Genomic DNA, 20,544 nt, shown 5'->3' on the forward strand with positions numbered 1-20,544 from the left:
ATCTGCTATCTAAGAAGTATAGCCACATGAAGGAAATGGCCTTTCTTGATATGCAGAAGCTGGAAATTCATGGTGTTTTATGCATAGCGTTAGGTGCCAAACATCTTCCAGAATTCAGTCCATGAGGAATAGACTCTGCATTAGTTGCACAGCACTCAGAAGTGCACCTGAGAGGTGAGATGTGTCCACAAACCAAGTCTTCCCTGACTAGCTCTGCCCAAGCCAAAGTTTCACAAGCCAGTGACCCTATAGCAGTGGTTTTCCACCAGGGCCAATTTTGTCCCACCCCAGAGGACATTTAGCAATATCTAGAGATCTTTCCATTGTCACAACTGAGGAAACGCTACTGGCATCTAGTGGGTAGAAGCCAGGGATGCTGGTAAACATCCTACAATGGAATGCACAGGACACCCTCCCACAACAAGGAGTCATCTGGTCCCAAATGTCAATACTGCAACAGTTGAGAAACTCTTTTCTAAGGCTCGCATCATTTGTAGATTAGACTGCCAGGTCCTTTCCGGGCATTCAAAGCCAGACCCAATCTGGAGTGCATGGGACAGATCTAAAGGTTCTATTCTAGATCCGTTCTTCATAAAGGATAGTTCCTATCCAAGAGTTTTGGCCTGCTTGAAGAGCCACAGTCCAACATGCACCCAATGCCCATATAAACAAGGCCAAGAGGGCAGCTTCTGGACCCAAGACTTTTCATTCTGACCTTTGTGGGGTGACGGTTCTGCTCAATTTGTTTCTTCTCTTGGATTCCAGAATGATTTTCAGGACCATGAATGTTTTCATCTATGTTGGTCTATCTGAAAGATCACCAACTTCTCCCAATGCAAGCGTCCAGCCAAAGTGATGCTGAATTGTCAAGACCATATGTGTCTGCCACAGTGGGTTCTATCTTACATGGGCAGAGACAGCTAGACCAGGATAGACAGGCATGGACCAAATGACTAGCCACAGCTCACAAGCTGCTGGCTCAGTATAGGGTCCACATCAAGATTCTAAACCAGACTTTCTGACTCCATTAGCACAATGTCCAAATGCTTGGCTTTGCATTGTTATTTAATGAGCTGTTTGTTATTCGATAACCTGCAGTCTTTTGAAGCAAAAGTGAAGAGGCAGGATTAGGCTGCTGAGGAGCCTTAGCTACAAATGAACTTTTCCTAGATATTAATATAAGAATAAGGTTTTTAAAACCCTCCACATTAGCTTTATAATCATATTTTTAAAATCAGACAAAGCCCATTTTACAGTCCCACAGAAAGAATGGCAAGACCCTAAACCCACTCTTGGCTCTGCCATTTACTCATGCAAGACCTTGGCCTTTGACTTCTCTCAGCTTCCACGTCATCAGCTGCAGAATGGGAAGAATAATGCTTATCCTTAAAGATTTGTTTTGAGGAATAAATGACATCGCATATGTAACTTGCCTGGCACATTGTAAGAACTATGAAAATGGTAACTAGTTTTCAAAAGTCATCTAACAAGCTCGGGTATTCTTGAAGCCACTATGTCTTGGATAATTCAGAACAGTTATGACTACAAATCTCCCTACCTTCCACAGCCCTCCAGCAGGATCCATGTTCATTTCTGCCATGGGTGTAGGTGGAGGGGAGAGGAAATTTACATCATTTTGATTCAGAAAATAAAATAATTTCAAACTGTAACTGAGAACTGTTCTAAGAATTTTATGGCTTAATCCTCACCATCACCCTATCAGGTAAGTAATATTATTATTATCCCCATTATACAGATGAGGAAGATGAGGCTTAAAGAGGTTGGGTAAGCAGCTCACTCATGGTTACTCAGCTAGGAGTGGGCATACTACCCTTAACCATTGCAACTCAACTCTATTTATTCATGTGTTCATTCAAACACTATATACTGCAACCCTACACTAAGCACTGGAGATACACAGTTCACTCCCTAGGCAGACATTGATTGAGCCTGACTATATGGCAGTCACTCTCCTAGGCACTGGCATATAGCAGGGAAAGTGTGACCAGTCCAGTGAAACCCACAGGTAAATAAAGAAATGTCAAAGGTGCTACAGTTCCATGATAGACATTTGTACAATAACCAGGAAGCCTCAAAAAACAAAGACATCCTCCTACTTGCTTTAGGGACTGAGCGGGGATTGGGATGAAAGAATGGAAGTCCAAAAGCCCTCATAGCAGAGGTGACTTTGAGGAGCCCAGTGTTCAGAGGACTAAAAAAAAAAAAAAAAAAAAAAAAAAAAAAAAAAAAAAAAACACCACCACCAAAAGGGCTGGCCCTAAAAAATTGCAGTGGAACTGGTCACCTGGCATCTTGTAGACAGAGAAATCAGTTGTAGGGCTGGATTTTTTTTCACTTCAGAGCTGTGGCTGCTGTTCTCCACAGCCCCAGCCCCGAACCCAGACAAGCATCCACCTATACGCAAGCACAAGAATAAATTCCACAGCAAGGCATTTCAAAGCACCTACCAAGACGAACGTGCCCTCTGGCCTGGTTTTTTGTTTGGGAAAATTGTGTGCTAAAAACAGCAGATAAAAAGGAATCTGTGGGCATAATTTATTTAGACTTTCTAAAGGCTGTTGAGAAGGTCTCTCTCATAGGAGGCTATTAAGGCCAGGCAGGCAAGTCGGTAACTATGGGGTAAAAGGTGAAGTTCTGTCGTGATTAAAGCCTTCTTAACTGAGAGGAACCAAAGCCCAGGAATAAATAGCCAGTTCTCCACATGGGAAGCTAAAAATAATGGGGCCGCTCAAAGATTAGTCCTGAAGCCAGTGTTGTGCTATCTATTTTTAATGATTTGTCAAATGAAGTACAGTAAATAGAAAAATGCAGGTAGCTAATGACAGGCGACCACTTGGTATAGTGACGAAAGCACTGAGCTGGCAGGGTACTAAGAAGCCAAGACCAGCCTGCACATATGACTGTTTCTCCGGGCCTCAATTTCTTTATCTGTGAAATGATGGAATGTGAAATGACACAAGCTGTTTCTAAGGTCTCTGAGACCATCTGTGAAAACATTTAAAATTCTTTGGCTTGAAGTTCATTCAGGTAGACTAGAAGGAACAAAATGAATTAACCAAATTGAGCAATCCAAGATCCAAAGGAACATCAGAAAAGGCAAAGTAAGTACTTTCACTCTGCTATTTTGGGGTGACTTGCTTAGTTCAGAATAAGTGATAACTTCTCCAAAGAAAGCTATAAGCATTCCTGCGGACAGTTTCATGAGAATGCCTATTCTTAGTCGGGCATCATCAAAGTGCCAATAAACCATATGCAGCATTTTTTTAAGCACTGAAAAAAGCACAGAAAAGTATTACCAGGCTATCGCCTAAATCAGCCTTATGTCCTTTCTTTGTCTCTGATATTATCAGAATAGCCTTTTTATAAATTGAATGGCAAATACTGATAAAGCCAACGATGTATAATTTGGGGGCCCCTGAATGCCTGCTCTCAAGAACCTCCAATCTGGTTGGTGATTTTACAAACAAAAAACAGATAACAAAATACAACTGGCTGTGCCAAATTAATGACACAGCCAGTAAAGTTTGAAGAATTTCCCAGACAAGGTAGGATGTGAACCTCACCTTCAAGAATGAATACTATTTCTGTAGTTGGAGGATAACAGGGAGATCTCCAGGACCAAAAAGAGAAACAAACAAACAAACAAACAAAATGAATTGGGAGCAGAAAAGAAACAAGAAGAGATAAAAAATAAAGAAACTCGGCTGAGTGCGGTGGCTTACGGTTGTAATCCCACACTTCGGGAGGCAGAGGCAGGAGGATCACTTGAGGCCAGGAGTTCCAGACAAGCCTGGGCACCATAGCAAGACCTTGTCTCTACAAACAGTTAAAAAATTAGCTGTGTGTGGTGCATGCCTGTCGTCCCAGCTACTCAGAGCCTGAGGTGGGGGGATCCCTTGAGCCAAGGTGTTCGAGGCTACAATGAGCCATGGTTATACAATTCAACTGTACTCCAGCCTGGGTGACAGAGTGAGACCCTACCTCAAAAAATAAAAATAAAGAAACTCATTCATTTGAGAAAAGACCAACTTTGTCCTGAGATGAGAGTTGCTTCATTATGAAAACAGAGAAGTGTCAAGAAAGATAGACTATGAACAAAGTATGAATAAATGAGGGTTCATGAAATGCCACGTGGATCTCCTTAGTTAGCTTGGGCCATAAGGCAAGACCCAGGAAACACTCCATGAAATTAAAAAGGAAAAAAACAATAAATGGGTTGAACACGGGCTTTTAACATAACACAGTGAGTTTTGGTGACTCATTACTGTAGACACTGTTTTCCCCAAGTAGCTTAGTGAGCTTTACTTTTTGATAGAATTATATGTTCATACAACTAACGGTTCTCTCTGCAGTTACGGCTAATGTTATTGATACTCATAACTCAAGGCAAACATGCGGGGTCTCCAAGAAATTTTTTCCTCCTATTACGCTGTTGCAGAATGAGTTGAATTCACTATAAGAGGGATATGTTACCTTTCTCTAAAGTACCTCTTTCTGTCCACAGGAATGTTTCTGATTTCATAGTCATTTTTTTCCTTCTTCTTCATATTTGTTGCTCAAAAAGCTGGCTCATTAAAAAGAAAGACAATTGCCTTCTAAGAGTCATACTAGACACAGGTGTGCCTCACATTATAGAAGACAAGGACTGCAGAAAATACCGACATCAGACAACCAGAATAGCTAACACTGAATTGAATGGTGCAAGAGGAGAAGGGACCATTTAAAAGAATACTAGAGAGATTTCTTCATTTATTTTGTAAACTTAAATTTCTAACTAGTAGATTTCCTTTGAAAATCTGTACTTGCTGTGAATCACTGCCACAATGCTCTTAAACCTTCCTGAGACATTTTGTTTCCTGGAGGTTTAAGCAATGTTTTCTAAAATTACCATCTATCTTCTGTTTCACATCACAAGAAGGAAGAAAAGTTTGTATCTCCTTTTTTATTCTAGAATAAATGATATAGTTTCTTCACAGGAAATAAACACCACACCATTAATTATATGCCTCATGGATTCTATTCTACCAGATTTACATTTACTTGGCCAAGTCCAAAGGAAAGTAAACAACCTTAGCATTCAATATTAATCATGATACACACACTCCTTCTCTTACTCCCCCTTTTCTCCGTAAAGCAATGCATTTAAAATGAAGACTTGGTTTTTGCTCTTTTTGACATTTCCTAAATATGTTTAAGCATCAGGAACTTGAAAATACAGTATTTTAACGGGTAACGAATGTCCTTTGAAAACAAAGACCATCCTTATATAAAAACAGAGAAATGAATTTTGATGCCGAAGCCAGTAAACAGGTGTCTCTCTTGCAAAAAGTTCAGTGAAGCTCTTCTTGGGTGTGTGTGCAAAAGCTTTACATAAAAACACCACTCCTAGGAGACCCTCTTACAGATTCGATTCACGAGAAACATATACAGAACACCATAGGAAGCCGGGTAATAAACTTCTGAATACCTTTTTATTATTTTGAAAATAATCGAAATTGTGCAAACAAGGTCAACAGCTGGAAAATGGCTCCCAGAAAGCCTGCCCTTACGGTCCTCTGAAATGACTAAACTATTTTGGCAGTTTCCAAAAATTAGCCTTACAAGTCCAAGAAGATATCCAGGTCCCCGTTTTCTCTCACCGAGTCCCAGCTGCACTAATGAAGAGTTGCAAGTGTAGGGCCTGACTCCTCTTCGTGCAAGCCTGAATTATCTAAGCAGCGCCTAAGAAGAGGAAATTTCTCTGCTAAGTCATCCTGTAAAGCTTCCAAAATAGAGGTGCCCTTCAAATTAAATTTGCCGGTGTCGATTCCCTCATCCTCAATGATACCGTGTAAGAAGGATCAAGTGATTAAAATGAAGCAAAAAGAAACAAAGGTCACCCAACACCTGGCTTTTAAAAACTAGGTAGATTCCAAGCCTCAGGATGCTTGGAAAAATAAAATGCGTATGACGCAACTAACACACCCAAAGGCCTGCGAACTTGTGTCCTATTAAAATGCATAATCCTATAATGATGAAGCTGGCAGTCTCTCAATAGTTTGACTCATTTCCCTGCTAAATATAACTGAAGACAGGTTTTCCACTAGGAGCTACTGTATTATTGTCTCCCAACTGGGAATCAGAAACTAATTTTGATATGTAAAGAAATCAAAGCAAAAAAGGATGATACAAGTATTTGTCTGACTTTAATTTCTTCGCAGCGCTACCCTGCCGGAACTACTTTTCCAGAACCCAGAGAGGCACCAATAGAGATGTTTACGGATGGATAAGGCAATATTTGTCAGAAGCTGCAGAATGTGAAAATCACCATCTATCTGCTACATGCAACTTGACTGAAATGATTTAGTCATAATGTGTGATGATGGACGTTGGTTGCTATTCTTTAGCTCTGCAAAGGGCACTGCCAGAGACCAGTATTTCAGCTGACTGCTATTTCTTTCCAATTCAAATGAAAAGAGACTTAAGAACAGACAACAACTCAGCAGGATGCCTATTAGAATTCTTTGTAAGGACTTCACTTGCAAGGAGCAACTCTGGACTTGTTCGTAAAAAAGAAATAATCGGCCTCTGACCGAAGTGCTCAAATCAAAAATCTCACGGGCTACATGGGATTGTTTTTTCTTCTAAAATAGATCATGGATTAATGGAGAACACTGACCTAATAGAAGCATCAACCATTTTTAGAACATAGCTTCCCCAAGAAGGCTTGCAAGGAATTATTCCAGCTATAATGCTGTAGAATTCGTTACCCACCGAGTTAAAATCGCCTCAAATCCATTTGCTCTTATGCAGAATTTCCTGATTATAGCCTCCGCTTATTTTGCCCACATACCAAATCTGAAAATGGTTTTTTAAATTAGTGACTTTTGAGCTAGCTTCACTGGTGGCTGGGGTACAAAATTATTTTCCCCCGAGTTGAAGAGTATTTTTTAAAAAGAAAAGAAAAGCACTGGGTGAGAAATGCATTTTGAAAACGAAGCTTGAGTTGTAGCTTCGCTACAATGGAGAAGCAGAAAATGGTCAAACTGCAGCTTTTCTCTTGACAACCCTGATGGTTCATCTGGTAACACCTCAGACACTTTATTCCTAGCTGAGTTGTTTCTATATGTCATTTATAACTTCACATTTTTCAGAGAGAGAAAAGTACCTCTTGGATGTATCTGTGTATCCATGTGTATGTGAGTGTGTGTGTGCAGGGATGATGTTAAGCTGGTATGTTCCTGCTACAGACAGTGTTGTGCTGGAACAGGCTTACATAGGCTTTGCAAGAGCTGATTGTTAAATTTGCAGAAAATATGCAAGCCAACTGATATCACATTGGTGGCTTGAAGCTGGCAGTGGTGGGAGTGTTTCTACCTCAGAAATCAGCATGCACTATGACTCAGGGCTTCATGATTTTTGGGAGAGTCAGGTTTTTAGCACATACTAGCCCACGACTGCTTACTGGGACACCAGCTGTTTGCACAGCCATCCACAATGATTGGCTGCACTCTCCACTTTGGTCATGCTCATGTTGTAAGCACTGTACAATATTTTGAATAGCAACTTCATCACGTGTAGTCAAATTATATCATTGTATTATCTACATTGTCTTCGGTATAATAACGGAAAAGCAGCATATACTATCACATCATCCATCATCAAAAAACAATTTTTTTGAGCATGGGTTTGGACCTCAGGTACTCTGCTGAATAAATTCTGGGTGGCTCAACTGCTGGTGGATCCCAAATAGATCATTTGGGAAGGAAGAAACCATGCCGGGCCTTAGAGAAAAACAAAATGAGTCAGTTCTCTCTGCTGCCTTTGGCCAGACCAAACCCTGAAGTCATACAGCATGGGGGAGATTTTCTAGTCAAAAAAGTCATTTATCTGTCCAAGCACATCTGAAGATAAATGATGAGAAGCTTCTGGGAACACTGAATGTCAGGCCTCTGAGCCCAAGCCAAGCCATCGCATCCCCTGTGACTTGCACATATACGCCCAGATGGCCTGAAGTAACTGAAGAATCACAAAAGAAGTGAAAAGGCCCTGCCCCGCCTTAACTGATGACATTCCACCATTGTGATTTGTTCCTGCCCCACCTTAACTGAGTGATTAACCCCATGAGTTTCCTTCTCCTGGCTCAGAAGCTCCCCCACTGAGCACCTTGTGACCCCTGCCCCTGCCCACCAGAGAACAACCCCCTTTGACTGTAATTTTCCATTACCTTCCCAAATCCTATAAAATGGCCCCACCCCTATCTCCCTTCACTGACTCTCTTTTCGGACTCAGCCCGCCTGCACCCAGGTGAAATAAACAGCCATGTTGCTCACACAAAGCCTGTTTGGTGGTCTCTTCACACGGACGTGCATGAAGTTTGGTGTCGTGACTCGGATCGGGGGACCTCCCTTGGGAGATCAATCCCCCATCCTCCTGCTCTTTGCTCTGTGAGAAAGATCCACCTACGACCTCAGGTCCTCAGACCGACCAGCCCAAGAAACATCTCACCAATTTCAAATCCGGTAAGCGGCCTCTTTTTACTCTCTTCTCCAGCTTCCCTCACTATCCCTCAACCTCTTTCTCCTTTCAATCTTGGCGCTACACTTCAATCTCTCTCTTCTCTTAATTTCAATTCCTTTCATTTTCTGGTAGAGACAAAAGAGACACGTTTTGTCCGTGGACCCAAAACTCTGGCGCCGGTCACGGACTGGGAAGGCAGCTTTCCCTTGGTGTTTAATCATTGCAGAGACGCCTCTGTGATTATACACCCACGTTTCAAGGGTGTCAAACCACGCAGGGACGCCTGCCTTGGTCCTTCACCCTTAGCGGCAAGTCCTGCTTTTCTGGGGAAGAGGCAAGTACCCCAACCCCTTCTCTCCTTGTCTCTACCCCTTCTCTGCCTTTCCTGGGGCAGGGGCAAGTACCCCTCAACCCCTTCTCCTTCACCCTTAGCGGCAAGTCCCGCTTCCCTAGGGGGCAAGAACCCCCCAGTCGCTTATTTCCGCACCACAACCTCTTATCTCTGTGCCCAATCCCTTATTTCCATGCCCCAACCCCTTCTCTGCTTTTCTGGAGGGCAAGAACCCCCCACCCCTTCTCCGTGTCTCTACTCTTTTCTCTGGGCTTGCCCCTTCACTATGGATAAGCTTCCACCTTCCATTCCTCCTCCTTCTCCCTTAGCCTGTGTTCTCAAAAACTTAAAACCTCTTCAACTCACACCTGACCTAAAACCTAAATGCCTTATTTTCTTCTGCAATGCCGCTTGACCCCAATACAAACTCGACAGTAGTTCCAAATAGCCGGAAAATGGCACTTTCAATTTTTCCATCCTACAAGATTTAAATAATTCTTGTCGTAAAATGGGCAAATGGTCTGAGGTTCCTGACGTCCAGGCATTCTTTTACACATCAGTCCCTTCCTAGTCTCTGTGCCCAGTGAAACTCGTCCCAAATCATCCTTCTTTCCCTCCCGCCTGTCCCCTCAGTCCCAACCCCAAGCGTCGCTGAGTCTTTATAATCTTCCTTTTCTACAGACCCATCTGACCTCTCCCCTCCTCGCCAGCCCAAGCTAGGTCCCAATAATTCCTCAGCCTCCGCTCCTCCACCCTGTAATCTTTTTATCACCTCCCCTCCTCACACCTGGTCCGACTTACAGTTTCATTCTCTGACTAGCCCTCCCCCACCTGCCCAGCAATTTACTCTTAAAAAGGTGGCTGGAGCCAAAGGCATAGTCAGGGTTAATGCTCCTTTTCCTTTATCCCAAATCAGATAGCGTTTAGGCTCTTTTTCATCAAATATAAAAACCCAGCCCAGTTCATGGCTCGTTCCCCAGCAACCCTGAGACGCTTTACAGCCCTAGACCCTAAAAGGTCAAAAGGCCATCTTATTCTCAATATACATTTTATTACCCAATCTGCTCCCGACATTAAATAAAACTCCAAAAATTAAATTCCGGCCCTCAAACCCCACAACAGGATTTAATTAACCTCGCCTTCAAGGTGTACAATAATAGAAAAAAGTTGCAATTCCTTGCCTCCACTGTGAGACAAACCCCAGCCACATCTCCAGCACACAAGAACTTCCAAACGCCTGAACCGCAGGGGCCAGGTGTTCCTCTAGAACCTCCTCCCCCAGGAGCTTGCTACAAGTGTCAGAAATCTGACCACCAGGCCAAGGAATGCCTGCAGCCCAGGATTCCTCCTAAGCCTTGTCCCATCTGTGCGGGACCCCACTGGAAATCGGACTGTTCAACTCACCTGGCAGCCACTCCCAGAGCCCCTGGAACTCTGGCCTAAAGCTGTCTGACCGACTCCTTCTCGGCTTAGCGGCTGAAGACTGACGCTGCCCGATCGCCTCGGAAGCCCCGTAGACCACCACAGATGCCGAGCTTTGAGTAACTCTCACAGTGGAAGGTAAGTCCGTCCCCTTCTTAATCAATACAGAGGCTACCCACTCCACATTACCTTCTTTTCAAGGGCCTGTTTCCCTTGCCTCCATAACTATTGTGGGTATTGACAGCCAGGCTTCTAAACCTCTTAAAACTCCCCAACTCTGGTGGCACCAACTTAGACAACACTCTTTTATGCACTCTTTTTCAGTTATCTCCACCTGCCCAGTTCCCTTATTAGGCCGAGATATTTTAACCAAATTATCTGCTTACCTGACTATTCCTGGACTATAGCCGCTGATCTCATTGATGCCCTTCTTCCCAATCCAAAGCCTCCTTTGCATCCTCCTCTTGTATTCTCCCACCTTAACCCACAAGTATAAGATACCTCTACTCCCTCCTTGGCGACTGATCATGCACCCCTTACCATCTCATTAAAACCTAATCACCCTTACCCCGCTGAATGCCAATATCCCATCCCACAGCATGCTTTGAAAGGATTAAAGCCTGTTATCACTCGCCTGCTACAGCATGGCCTTTTGAAGCCTATAAACTCTCCTTACAATTCCCCCATTTTACCTGTCTTAAAACCAGACAAGCCTTACAAGTTAGTTCAGGATCTGCGCCTTATCAACCAAATTGTTTTGCCTATCCACCCCATGGTGCCAAACCCATATACTCTCCTATCCTCAATACCTCCCTCCACAATCCATTATTCTGTTCTGGATCTCAAACATGCTTTCTTTACTATTCCTTTGCACCCGTCATCCCAGCCTCTCTTCGCTTTCACTTGGACTGACCCTGACACCCATCAGGCTCAGCAAATTACCTGGGCTGCACTGCCGCAAGGCTTCACAGACAGCCCCCATTACTTCAGTCAAGCCCAAATTTCATCCCCATCTGTTACCTATCTCGGCATAATTCTCGTAAAAACACACGTGCTCTCCCTACTGATCGTGTCCAGCTGATCTCCCAAACCTCAATCCCTTACAAAACAACTCCTTTCCTTCCTAGGCATGTTTAGTGCGGTCAGAATTCTTACACAAGAGCCAGGACCGCACCCTGTAGCCTTTCTGTCCAAACAACTTGACCTTACTGTTTTAGCCTAGCCCTCATGTCTGCGTGCAGCGGCTGCCGCTGCTTTAATACTTTTAGAGGCCTTTCCTACAAGGTCTGAGAAGGCCACCGCAGTCATTTCTTCCCTTCTGTCAGACATAATTCCTCAGTTTAGGCTTCCCACCTCTATACAGTCTGATAACAGACCAACCTTTATTAGTCAAATCAGCCAAGCATTTTTTCAGGCTCTTAGTATTCAGTGACAGACTAATGGTCTATTAAAAACACACCTCACCAAGCTCAGCCACCAACTTAAAAAGGACTGGACAATACTTTTACCACTTTCCCTTCTCAGAAGTCAGACCTGTCCTCAGAATGCTACAAGGGACAGCCCATTTGAGCTCCTGTATAGACGCTCCTTTTTATTAGGCCCCAGTCTCATTCCAGACACCAGACCAACTTAGACTGTGCCCCCAAATAATTTGTCATCCCTACTATCTTCTGTCTAGTCATACTCCTATTCACTGTTCTCAACTACTCATATATGCCCTGCTCTTGTTTACACTGTTTCTCCAAGCCTTCACAGCTGATATCTCCTCGTGCTATCCCCAAACTGCCACTCTTAACTCTTGAAGTAAATAAATAATCTTTGCTGGCAGGACTATGCTGAATCTCCTTAGGCACTCTCTAATTAGATGTCCTAGGTCCTCCCAATTCTTGGTCCTTTTATACCTGTTTTTCTCCTTCTCTTATTCCATTTAGTTTTTCAATTCATACAAAACCGTATCCAGGCCATCACCAATCATCCTATGCGACAAATGTTTCTTCTAACAACCCCACAATATCACCTCTTACCACAAGATCTCCCTTCAGCTTAATCTGTCCCACTCTACGTTCCCATACCGCCCCTAATCCCGCTTGAAGCAGCCCTGAGAAACATCACCCAGTCTCTCTCCATACCACCCCCAAAAATTTTTGCCGCCCCAACACTTCAACACTATTTTGTTTTATTTTTCTTATTAATATAAGAAGGCAGGAATGTCAGGCCTCTGAGCCCAAGCCAAGCCATCGCATCCCCTGTGACTTGCACGTGTATGCCCAGATGGCCTGAAGTAACTGAAGAATCACAAAAGAAGTGAAAAGGCCCTGCCCCACCTTAACTGAGTGATTAACCCCATGAATTTCCTTCTCCTGGCTCAGAAGCTCCCCCACTGAGCACCTTGTGACCCCTGCCCCTGCCCACCAGAGAACAACCCCCTTTGACTGTAATTTTCCATTACTTTCCCAAATCCTATAAAACGGCCCCACCCCTATCTCCCTTCGCTGACTCTCTTTTCAGACTCAGCCCGCCTGCACCCAGGTGAAATAAACAGCCATGTTGCTAATACAAAGCCTATTTGGTGGTCTCTTCACACGGACGCGCATGAAACTGAAGGCCACCCCCTCCCCACAAAACAGAAATTAGCAGCCCCCCCCCCAATCAGCATTAAAACAAAGATCAACCAACCCGTCATTTTAGTAAACAGAGTAATTTGGGCTTTTGGAGAGCATGAAAATTCTGTCAGCATTATAATGTCTTCTACCACAGACCTTAATTTCTTCTGTCATGGACAATATGATTAGGTTCAGTCCCATTTGATTGTAGGGAATGTCAGTTCCCATTAACAAAAGAAAAGAGGCACTCAAAGACATGTTCCACATTTTTAACCCTTTAGGCAGGGAGGATTTTTCCAGCTCAAACTGCTCCTAGGAAATATTTGAAGTATTTAATCACAACCAGCCCATCCAGCAGATAGTTAAAGGGGTTTACCTAACTAACATCATCTCCCTTCCCAGCATAGGCTACTTTTGATTCAACACTGGCACTAAACAGTGAAGGCCGTGTGTATTTTTGTTTTATTTTGCAACTTGAGGGGTTTTTTTTCCACCCCACCCCATCCCAATCTCTAAGAAATCCCACTCCTTGCATGAATGGAGTTTGCTTTAAACGGTCTGATTCTTTGAGGGCAGTGGAGGGGAAGCAATGTCCTTTTTGGCTGCATGCACTGCTTGGCCATTCAGTCCATGAACTGGTTAGTGCAGGTGGCTTTCACGGGTGCTGGAAAATTATAGTCTCGGAACCAAACTTGTATCAGTAAACACACTGCCTCGGACTGGCCACTTCAATTCCGTTGAACCTTCCACAGTTCAAACAGGGCACCTGTGTCAGTCTGAGAGCTTAGCAGGCACAGCTGACCCTGGCTGCCCAGCAAACAGTTTATGTTGGGGAGCAATCTAGAGATTTCCTGAGATAAGGATGCTATTACGGGCTGACAAATGTGGAACGGAGCAGAGTGGGCAGCTTTTGTCCAGACTGACCCAGGGTGAGAATGCTGGGATTATTGCTGATTGGGGATAAATGGCAACCGGTGATTTATTTGTTCAAGTGAAACCAGCCAAGTTCATCCCTCAACACCATCTCCCATCTCTTTAAGCTTTTTTTTTTTTCCTCTTCAAGCAAAAAGACTTAGCAATTTTGGGAACTCTTCAAATACCACCATTCCAGTGAACCCCATTGCCCTTAGGATAAAATCTGCAATCCTTCACAAGCCTTTGAGGCCCTGCGTGATGGGGTCCTACCTGCCTCTCCAGCTCCGGCTCCTGCCACTGGCCCCCAAACCTCCTGCACTCAACCACAATGGCCACCACTCTGGTTTCTGACTGCCCCAATTTCCTCTCCACCTTCAGCCTTTGCTTGTGCTGCGCCCTCCCCCTGGGGCTCTTCCTCTCTCTTTACCTGGCAATCCTCCTTATCCTTGTTCCAGGTTGAATGTCATCGGCAAAGATCAGGCAAGCTCCTCCATTATGATCTTCTGGGATCATAAGATCATTAAGAACTTCATTACAGGTCTTAGCACAAGCGTGAATAATTACTATTGCTTTAAAATTGTGCTCCCCCACTGGCAGGGACTTTGTCTATCATATACACCTAGCACTTAGTGCAATGCTGAATATTTCGTAGGTCAAATGCACAAATGAATGAAGTAGGTGCACAAAAGATATTGACTGCCTATGAGAGAATCTAACAAAGCAAACCCAGTAAAACAAAATCTTCATCTTAAATGTGCACAAACTAGGGAGTGAGTATTCTCTCCTACCTCTCCTCTCCAATCATTCTGGCACAAGGATTTCAGATGGTCCTGCCTTCCCATCAGGGCTGTACCATCAAATCTACTGCCTGGCTTTCAGGACCCTCCCTTATCATTATCATCATCATGAACATTATTGAACATGTAATATGTTCCATGTGCATTACTCAGTATTCTCTACTGATCTATTTTGATCCTCACTGCAATCCATAAAATAGTGCAGTGTATTAAAGATGGGCACAGATGCATAAATTCTTTGACATTTCTCTCATTGAGAGGTGGGGTCTTTGTCCCCTCCCCTTGAATCTGAGCTATCATGTGACTGCTTTGACCAATAGAGTGCACAGGAAATCATGTCATGCCTTTTCCAGTTTCTGTGTCGGAATGGTCACTCTGGGGGAAGACTGCTTACAACTAATGACTAACACCTAATTGGCACAAAGAATGTAAGAAGTCTGACTCCCCTGAGACTGCAGGGAGGAAACTCGAGCTGGTTGCAGGGAGAGGTCCTGGGGAAAGAATGCCCTTCCAGCCCCCAGCTGTTGCAACCATGCCAGCCCGGGTGCCAGGCACGTACATGAAGGCACTATCTTGCACATCCAGCCCAGTGGAGCCTTCAGCTGACTCCAGCCCCAGCCACAGGAGAAGCTCCATGACAGACCACTCAGCTGACCCCAGTTAACCCCCAAAATTGTAAGAGAGAATAACAAATTAGTATTTTAAGCCACTAGATTGTGGGGAGGATTATTAGGCAGCAATAAATAGCCAAAACACATAGGCACTATTATGACCCTGGCTTTATAAATGAGAAACTGAGACCCAGCACACTCAAAACCACACAGCTGGGAAGGGGTGGAGCTGGGAGCCCAATCCAGGAAGGCTGGCTTCAGAACCCAGGCTTTCATCATCCATGCAGCCACACCACTCTTTGGCAGGCAACTTTTTCCATTTGACTCCTCCAAGACATAGTCTCTACTGCTGTTGTGCCTCTAAAAGGGTCCCCTTCTCTTTCCTTCTGCCCATGTGCCTAATCCCCTACCTCTATCATGATCCCCTCTCTGAATCCTCTACTGATATGCCCTTCCTCCAAATTCCTGGGTACATTTAAAGATAGGCATCTAGCCTTACCATTCATTGTTCTAGTAATATTCTTCATGCTGTTTTTTGCTTCACAACTATACGTTATCTCCTTAAAGGTCAAGACTAAATCTCCTATTTTGATTTTGCCCACCTCTCCAGAAAACCTTGCCCATCCCCACTTTGCCCAGCACAATGCTGTGCACTCAATAAATGCACCCTCCAGCCATACTGGCCAAGCTCATTCCCTTTTCAGAGCCTTTATGTTTGCAGTTCCCTTTCCCTGGAATACGCTTTCTTAGCTTTCAACCTGAGCTGCTCCTTCACAGCACTCAGATCTCAGAAAATATCTCCCCTCCACCAACAGGCCTATCCTGACCACCCTGTCTAAAGGAGCCACGCCTCCCCACCCCTAGTCAGCCACTCACCATCTCCTTATCCTGCATTGTATTAATTAGTTGTCAGTTTCTTAATTCCCTTAGGTAGCAAACAAGTTCCAGAAGGACAGAACATGCCCATCTTGTTTATTGCTATAGTCTCAATCCCCAGGACAGTTTCTGGCCTATAGTAACATCTCAAAAAATATTGTTAAATAAATGAATGCATATTTGTTGATTGAATCTTCACTTCATAAGATCTGCCACCATGGAGCAGTTGTGCTCATGTACACAAAACATTTTCCCCTATCATGTCAGTTGCATCTTCAGCATAATGTGCAACCTTCCACTTCTCATGCAGAAAGACTATACTTGCCTCTAAGGTGAACTCTGTGTTTATTTTATATATATATATATATATTTTAAGTTCTGGGATACATGTGCAGAACGTGCAGGTTTGTTACATAAGTATACATGGGCCATGGTGGTTTGCTGCACCTGTCAACCCATCATATAGGTTTTAAGCCCCACATGCATTAGGTATTTGTCCTAATGCTCTCCCTCCCCTTGCCCCCAACCCCTTGACAGGCCCCGGTGTGTGACGTTCCCCTCCCTGTGTCCATGTGTTGTCACTGAGGTAAATTCTGTGTTTATTTAGCCAGTTGTTGACGTCGGGCAGTAGTCTACATGCTGCTTTGGTTGTCCAAACCATTTTTCACAACTGAGTTCTCAGAAGAACAGTGGGTTTTTTTTTGTTTTTGTTATTGTTTTGTTTTGTTTTCATTTTTCTTTTATAGAGACAGGGGCTCATTGTGTTGCCCAGGCTGATCTCAAACTCCTGGGCTCAAGCAATCCATTCACCTCGGCCTCTCAAAGTGCTGGGATTACAGGCATGAACCACCATGCCTGGCCTAGAAGAGTGCATTTAAAGCTGGTCGAGGAGCCTCTAGGATGACCCCAAGAAGAGAGGGTGGCCAAGCAGGCTTAGTACGACATGCATTAATAAAGGCCACATTGCAGGGATGATGAAATGAGAATATTAAATCCAATGGAGGTCCATTTTGCTCACTATGGTAAACACAGAAATTCATCCTGGTATCTAGAACAGAGTAAATCCTCAATAAACACTTGTTGAATGAACAAAGGAACAAACCAATGAATTAATGAAACATCTTTACCTTGTGTCTCATTTCTTATCACTTATCATTTCAATATGTGCAAGAACTCAGAGTACATTTTTCATTTTGTGTATGTGAAACTTACCAACAAAATAGTAGCTAAAAAGTTGTAAAACTTACAAGTTTTCAACAACAAAGTTGAAATGTAAATGAACATCTGTGCTCCCCGAAATACATAATAGGCAAGTAGAGAAATCTAGAAAGGAAAGGCCACAGGCTGAGGGAGTTAACAGATGCGATAGTCTATTAACATTAATTTTCTGAAGTGTATATTTCAGAAATTTGCTCAGCCTCGCTGAGTCTCAGTTTCCTCAACTGTATACTGAAGACAATTTCTTTATTTACCAACCTGAAATATTCATAGTGAGTCTAAGATGGAAGAACAGATGAGTAAATACTTTAAAAGTGTAATAAGAGGCCAGGCGTTGTGGCTCACACCTGTAATCCCAGCACTTCGGGAGGCCAAGGCGGGCAGATCATTTGAGGTCAGGAGTTCGAGACCAGACTGGCCAACATGGCAAAACCCTGTCTCTACAAAAACTACAAAAATTAGCTGGGCGTGGTGACACGCGCCTGTAATCCCAGCTACTCAGGAGGCTGAGAGGCATGAGAATCACTTGAACCCAGGAGGTGGTGGTTACACTGAGCTGAGATTGTGCTGCTGCACTCCAGCCTGGGCAACAGAGCAAGACTCCATCTCAAAAGAAAAAAAAAAGTGTAATAGGAATATGAGCTAATCGACAGTTTCCATCTTCCTCTCTTTCTGACATTTCAAATACTTAAAAATACTTTTAAAAATTTTTTAATCAATGTAATATATTTTTTACTATTTCTGAGTTTCATGATTCATTCACAAATGACTATTACCTGTTTGTTCCAAATACTCAATCTGCAAAGTTTTTCCTAATCATTTTATAATTCTTCACTCGTTTTTATTCTGTTCTCTCTGCTTTTCAGCAAAGGATCTCATGGTATAGAGAGCTTCTCCATCTTACCAGAGGCAGAGAGCAAGTTAGAAACAGCAAAGAAAAAATCAAACTCTTGAGCCTCTAGTCTGTGGTTTATAGTATAGAGCCCAAACAACTGGGCCTATAAAATTGTCACTAGTGGCGGTGTGCGGTGGCTCACACCTGTAATCCCAGCACTTTGGGAGGCCAAGGAGGGAGGATCACCTGAGGTCATGAGTTCAAGACCAGCCTGGTCAACATGGTAAAACCCTGATTCTACTAAAAGTACAGAAATTAGCCAGGTGTAGTGGCGGGTGCCTGTAACCCCATCTACTCAGGAGGTTGAGGCAGGAGAATCTCTTAAACCTGGGAGGTGCTGGTTGCAGTGAGCTGAGTTAGTGCCACTGCACTCCAGCCTGTGCAACAGAGGAAGACTCCAACAACAACAACAAAAAAAAAAAAAAAAAAAAAAAAAGGCACTAAGAGAAAAGTCAGAACATAGAAACTAGTCCATTGGCTCTCAAATTCAGGGTGGCATCAGAATCACTTGGAAGCCTTGTTAAAACACAGACTGTTGCATCCTCACACCCCACCCCAAAGTTTTAGGAGTTCTGGGGTAGTGTCTGGGATCCTGTATTTCTAACAGGAATTTTGTATTTCTAACAGGAAAATTGGCACTACATTCCCATGTAATGCCAATGCTACTGGTCTGCCAGTCACACCGTGAGAACCAAGTACCTCGCCTTTTCATACACTAACTCCTTTGATTCTCCCCAACAATCCTTTCCCATTTTATAGATGAGAAAACTGAAGCCCAAAGAATAAGCTCTACTCGCATTCCAGCTTGATGATTAACCAAATCACTATAATCTTCAGAAAGTGAATTAACTTTTCTGTGGCTCATTTTCTTCATCTACTGAAAAAATATTGTCAGGTACTTCGTGAGGATTAAAAGGACAGTGGTGTCTAAGAAGTGCTCCGCAAAGTCAAAGACAAGGCAGAATTCTAGGAATCTCACTTAGCACATGGTTGTGTTTTTGTCACTTTTTTATTTGCATGGGAAATTTTTAACCACAGTCTTGGCAAAGTACTCCATCCCATTGTCCAAACATCAGTATCCACAGATTCTGTTTTCCGAGGTTTTGTTTTGTTTGTTAATTACTGAGTTTGTTTTTCCAAGAACTTCCCTTATGTGCTATAAGTGGAGGATGTTGGGGGGCATGTGAAGGTGGGGAGCTGTTTCAAACACATTGAACATTTCCATTTCTAAGACAATGCTCGACTGGATAGACAGTGTTCCCTATGATGTGATACATAGTTATGTTGGAGATTAGTGCGAGCATAGCCTCCTTTGGTATAAGGTTCTCTGATTTGGCTTTCAGAGGATTCAGTGTATTTTGATTTCTATATTTAGAAACCCAAGGCTTTTTGGTATGCTATGAACACATCGAGGCAAGACTAATTGTAAGCACTTGTACTTAAATATTAGTTTCAAGAATAAGAACCTTCAGAGGTTTCCATATTGTATTCCACTGGAGTATCATTAAGGGAAGCAATTACTTATCAGGGTATACTCAAAACAACTATCGCATTCGGAGGAAATAATGGGAGTTGTCTGTCTAAATTGCTAGGCAGGGGCCCTGGAAATCACTTAGCATAATTCTTGGCATAAGGTAAGCAGTCAATACATGGAACAGAGATTCACCCAAATGAGCACATAGTATGTGTTAGGATTTTACACATAGCATGTCATTGAGTCTTTATAATGTCCCCTGATTTAGGTATGGCTGTTCATTTATAGATGAGGAAACTGAGATTCATGGAAGTTAGGCGATGTTTATCAGGTCCTTAGGGAAGTAGGTGAGGGCTGAATTTATGATGCCAGCCCATAGGTGCTTGATGTCAAAAGCAATTTTCTTTCCACTACACTAGGCTATTTCCTTCCTTGCCTCTTTCCTTTTTGTCTTCCCTCCTCTATAGGGTTCCTTCCACAAATATCAGAAGTCTTTGTGAATGCCAGCCAACAACCACTGTCAGCAAGGTATTCCCATTTTATGGATTGGTTCATAGTAGAAAAAAGTGATACCTCAAAGCCACCCCCGAAAAGTTTCAGTATAAAATACGTAACTTCTTTCTGAATCCTATTCCTCAGCCCTCAACTATAAGCGCGAGGGTACGTTACAGAGGATCCTTTATTTAGGAAAACAAAGTGTTTGGGTCTAGACAACAGGCCCATGACAGTCCATCACCCAGGGCCAAGGCTCCCAGCTGCCCAAGGTGGCTGAGATACATGGGAGGAAAAACTGGTCTTGCTTCCAATTTGAATTGCAAATGCTTCCTGGAGACAGAAGTCAGGCGGATATGCCCATTTATTTATTGCCTAGTGCTACAATAG

General features: G+C 43.3%; 1 protein-coding gene across 11 annotated transcripts in view, besides 2 other annotated features; it reads right to left on the minus strand.

Moving 5' to 3' along the window:
• The window catches only part of PPARGC1A (PPARG coactivator 1 alpha), a 680,885-nt gene that overhangs the window by 523,321 nt on the left and 137,020 nt on the right, over positions 1-20,544 (minus strand). The window lies entirely within an intron of this gene.
• Positions 6,132-6,931: an enhancer, noted in NCBI's record as "OCT4-NANOG-H3K27ac hESC enhancer chr4:24323096-24323895 (GRCh37/hg19 assembly coordinates)". NCBI's record gives its function as "activates a minimal SCP1, AML or CMV promoter by ChIP-STARR-seq in primed H9 embryonic stem cells {active_cell/tissue: H9 hESC(primed)}" and the evidence as "EXISTENCE:reporter gene assay evidence [ECO:0000049][PMID:30033119]".
• Positions 15,228-15,796: an enhancer, noted in NCBI's record as "H3K27ac-H3K4me1 hESC enhancer chr4:24332192-24332760 (GRCh37/hg19 assembly coordinates)". NCBI's record gives its function as "activates a minimal SCP1, AML or CMV promoter by ChIP-STARR-seq in naive and primed H9 embryonic stem cells {active_cell/tissue: H9 hESC(naive and primed)}" and the evidence as "EXISTENCE:reporter gene assay evidence [ECO:0000049][PMID:30033119]".

The sequence above is a fragment of the Homo sapiens genome, chromosome 4 (genome assembly GCF_000001405.40).
Source record: "Homo sapiens chromosome 4, GRCh38.p14 Primary Assembly".
Classification (NCBI taxonomy): Eukaryota; Metazoa; Chordata; class Mammalia; order Primates; family Hominidae; genus Homo; species Homo sapiens.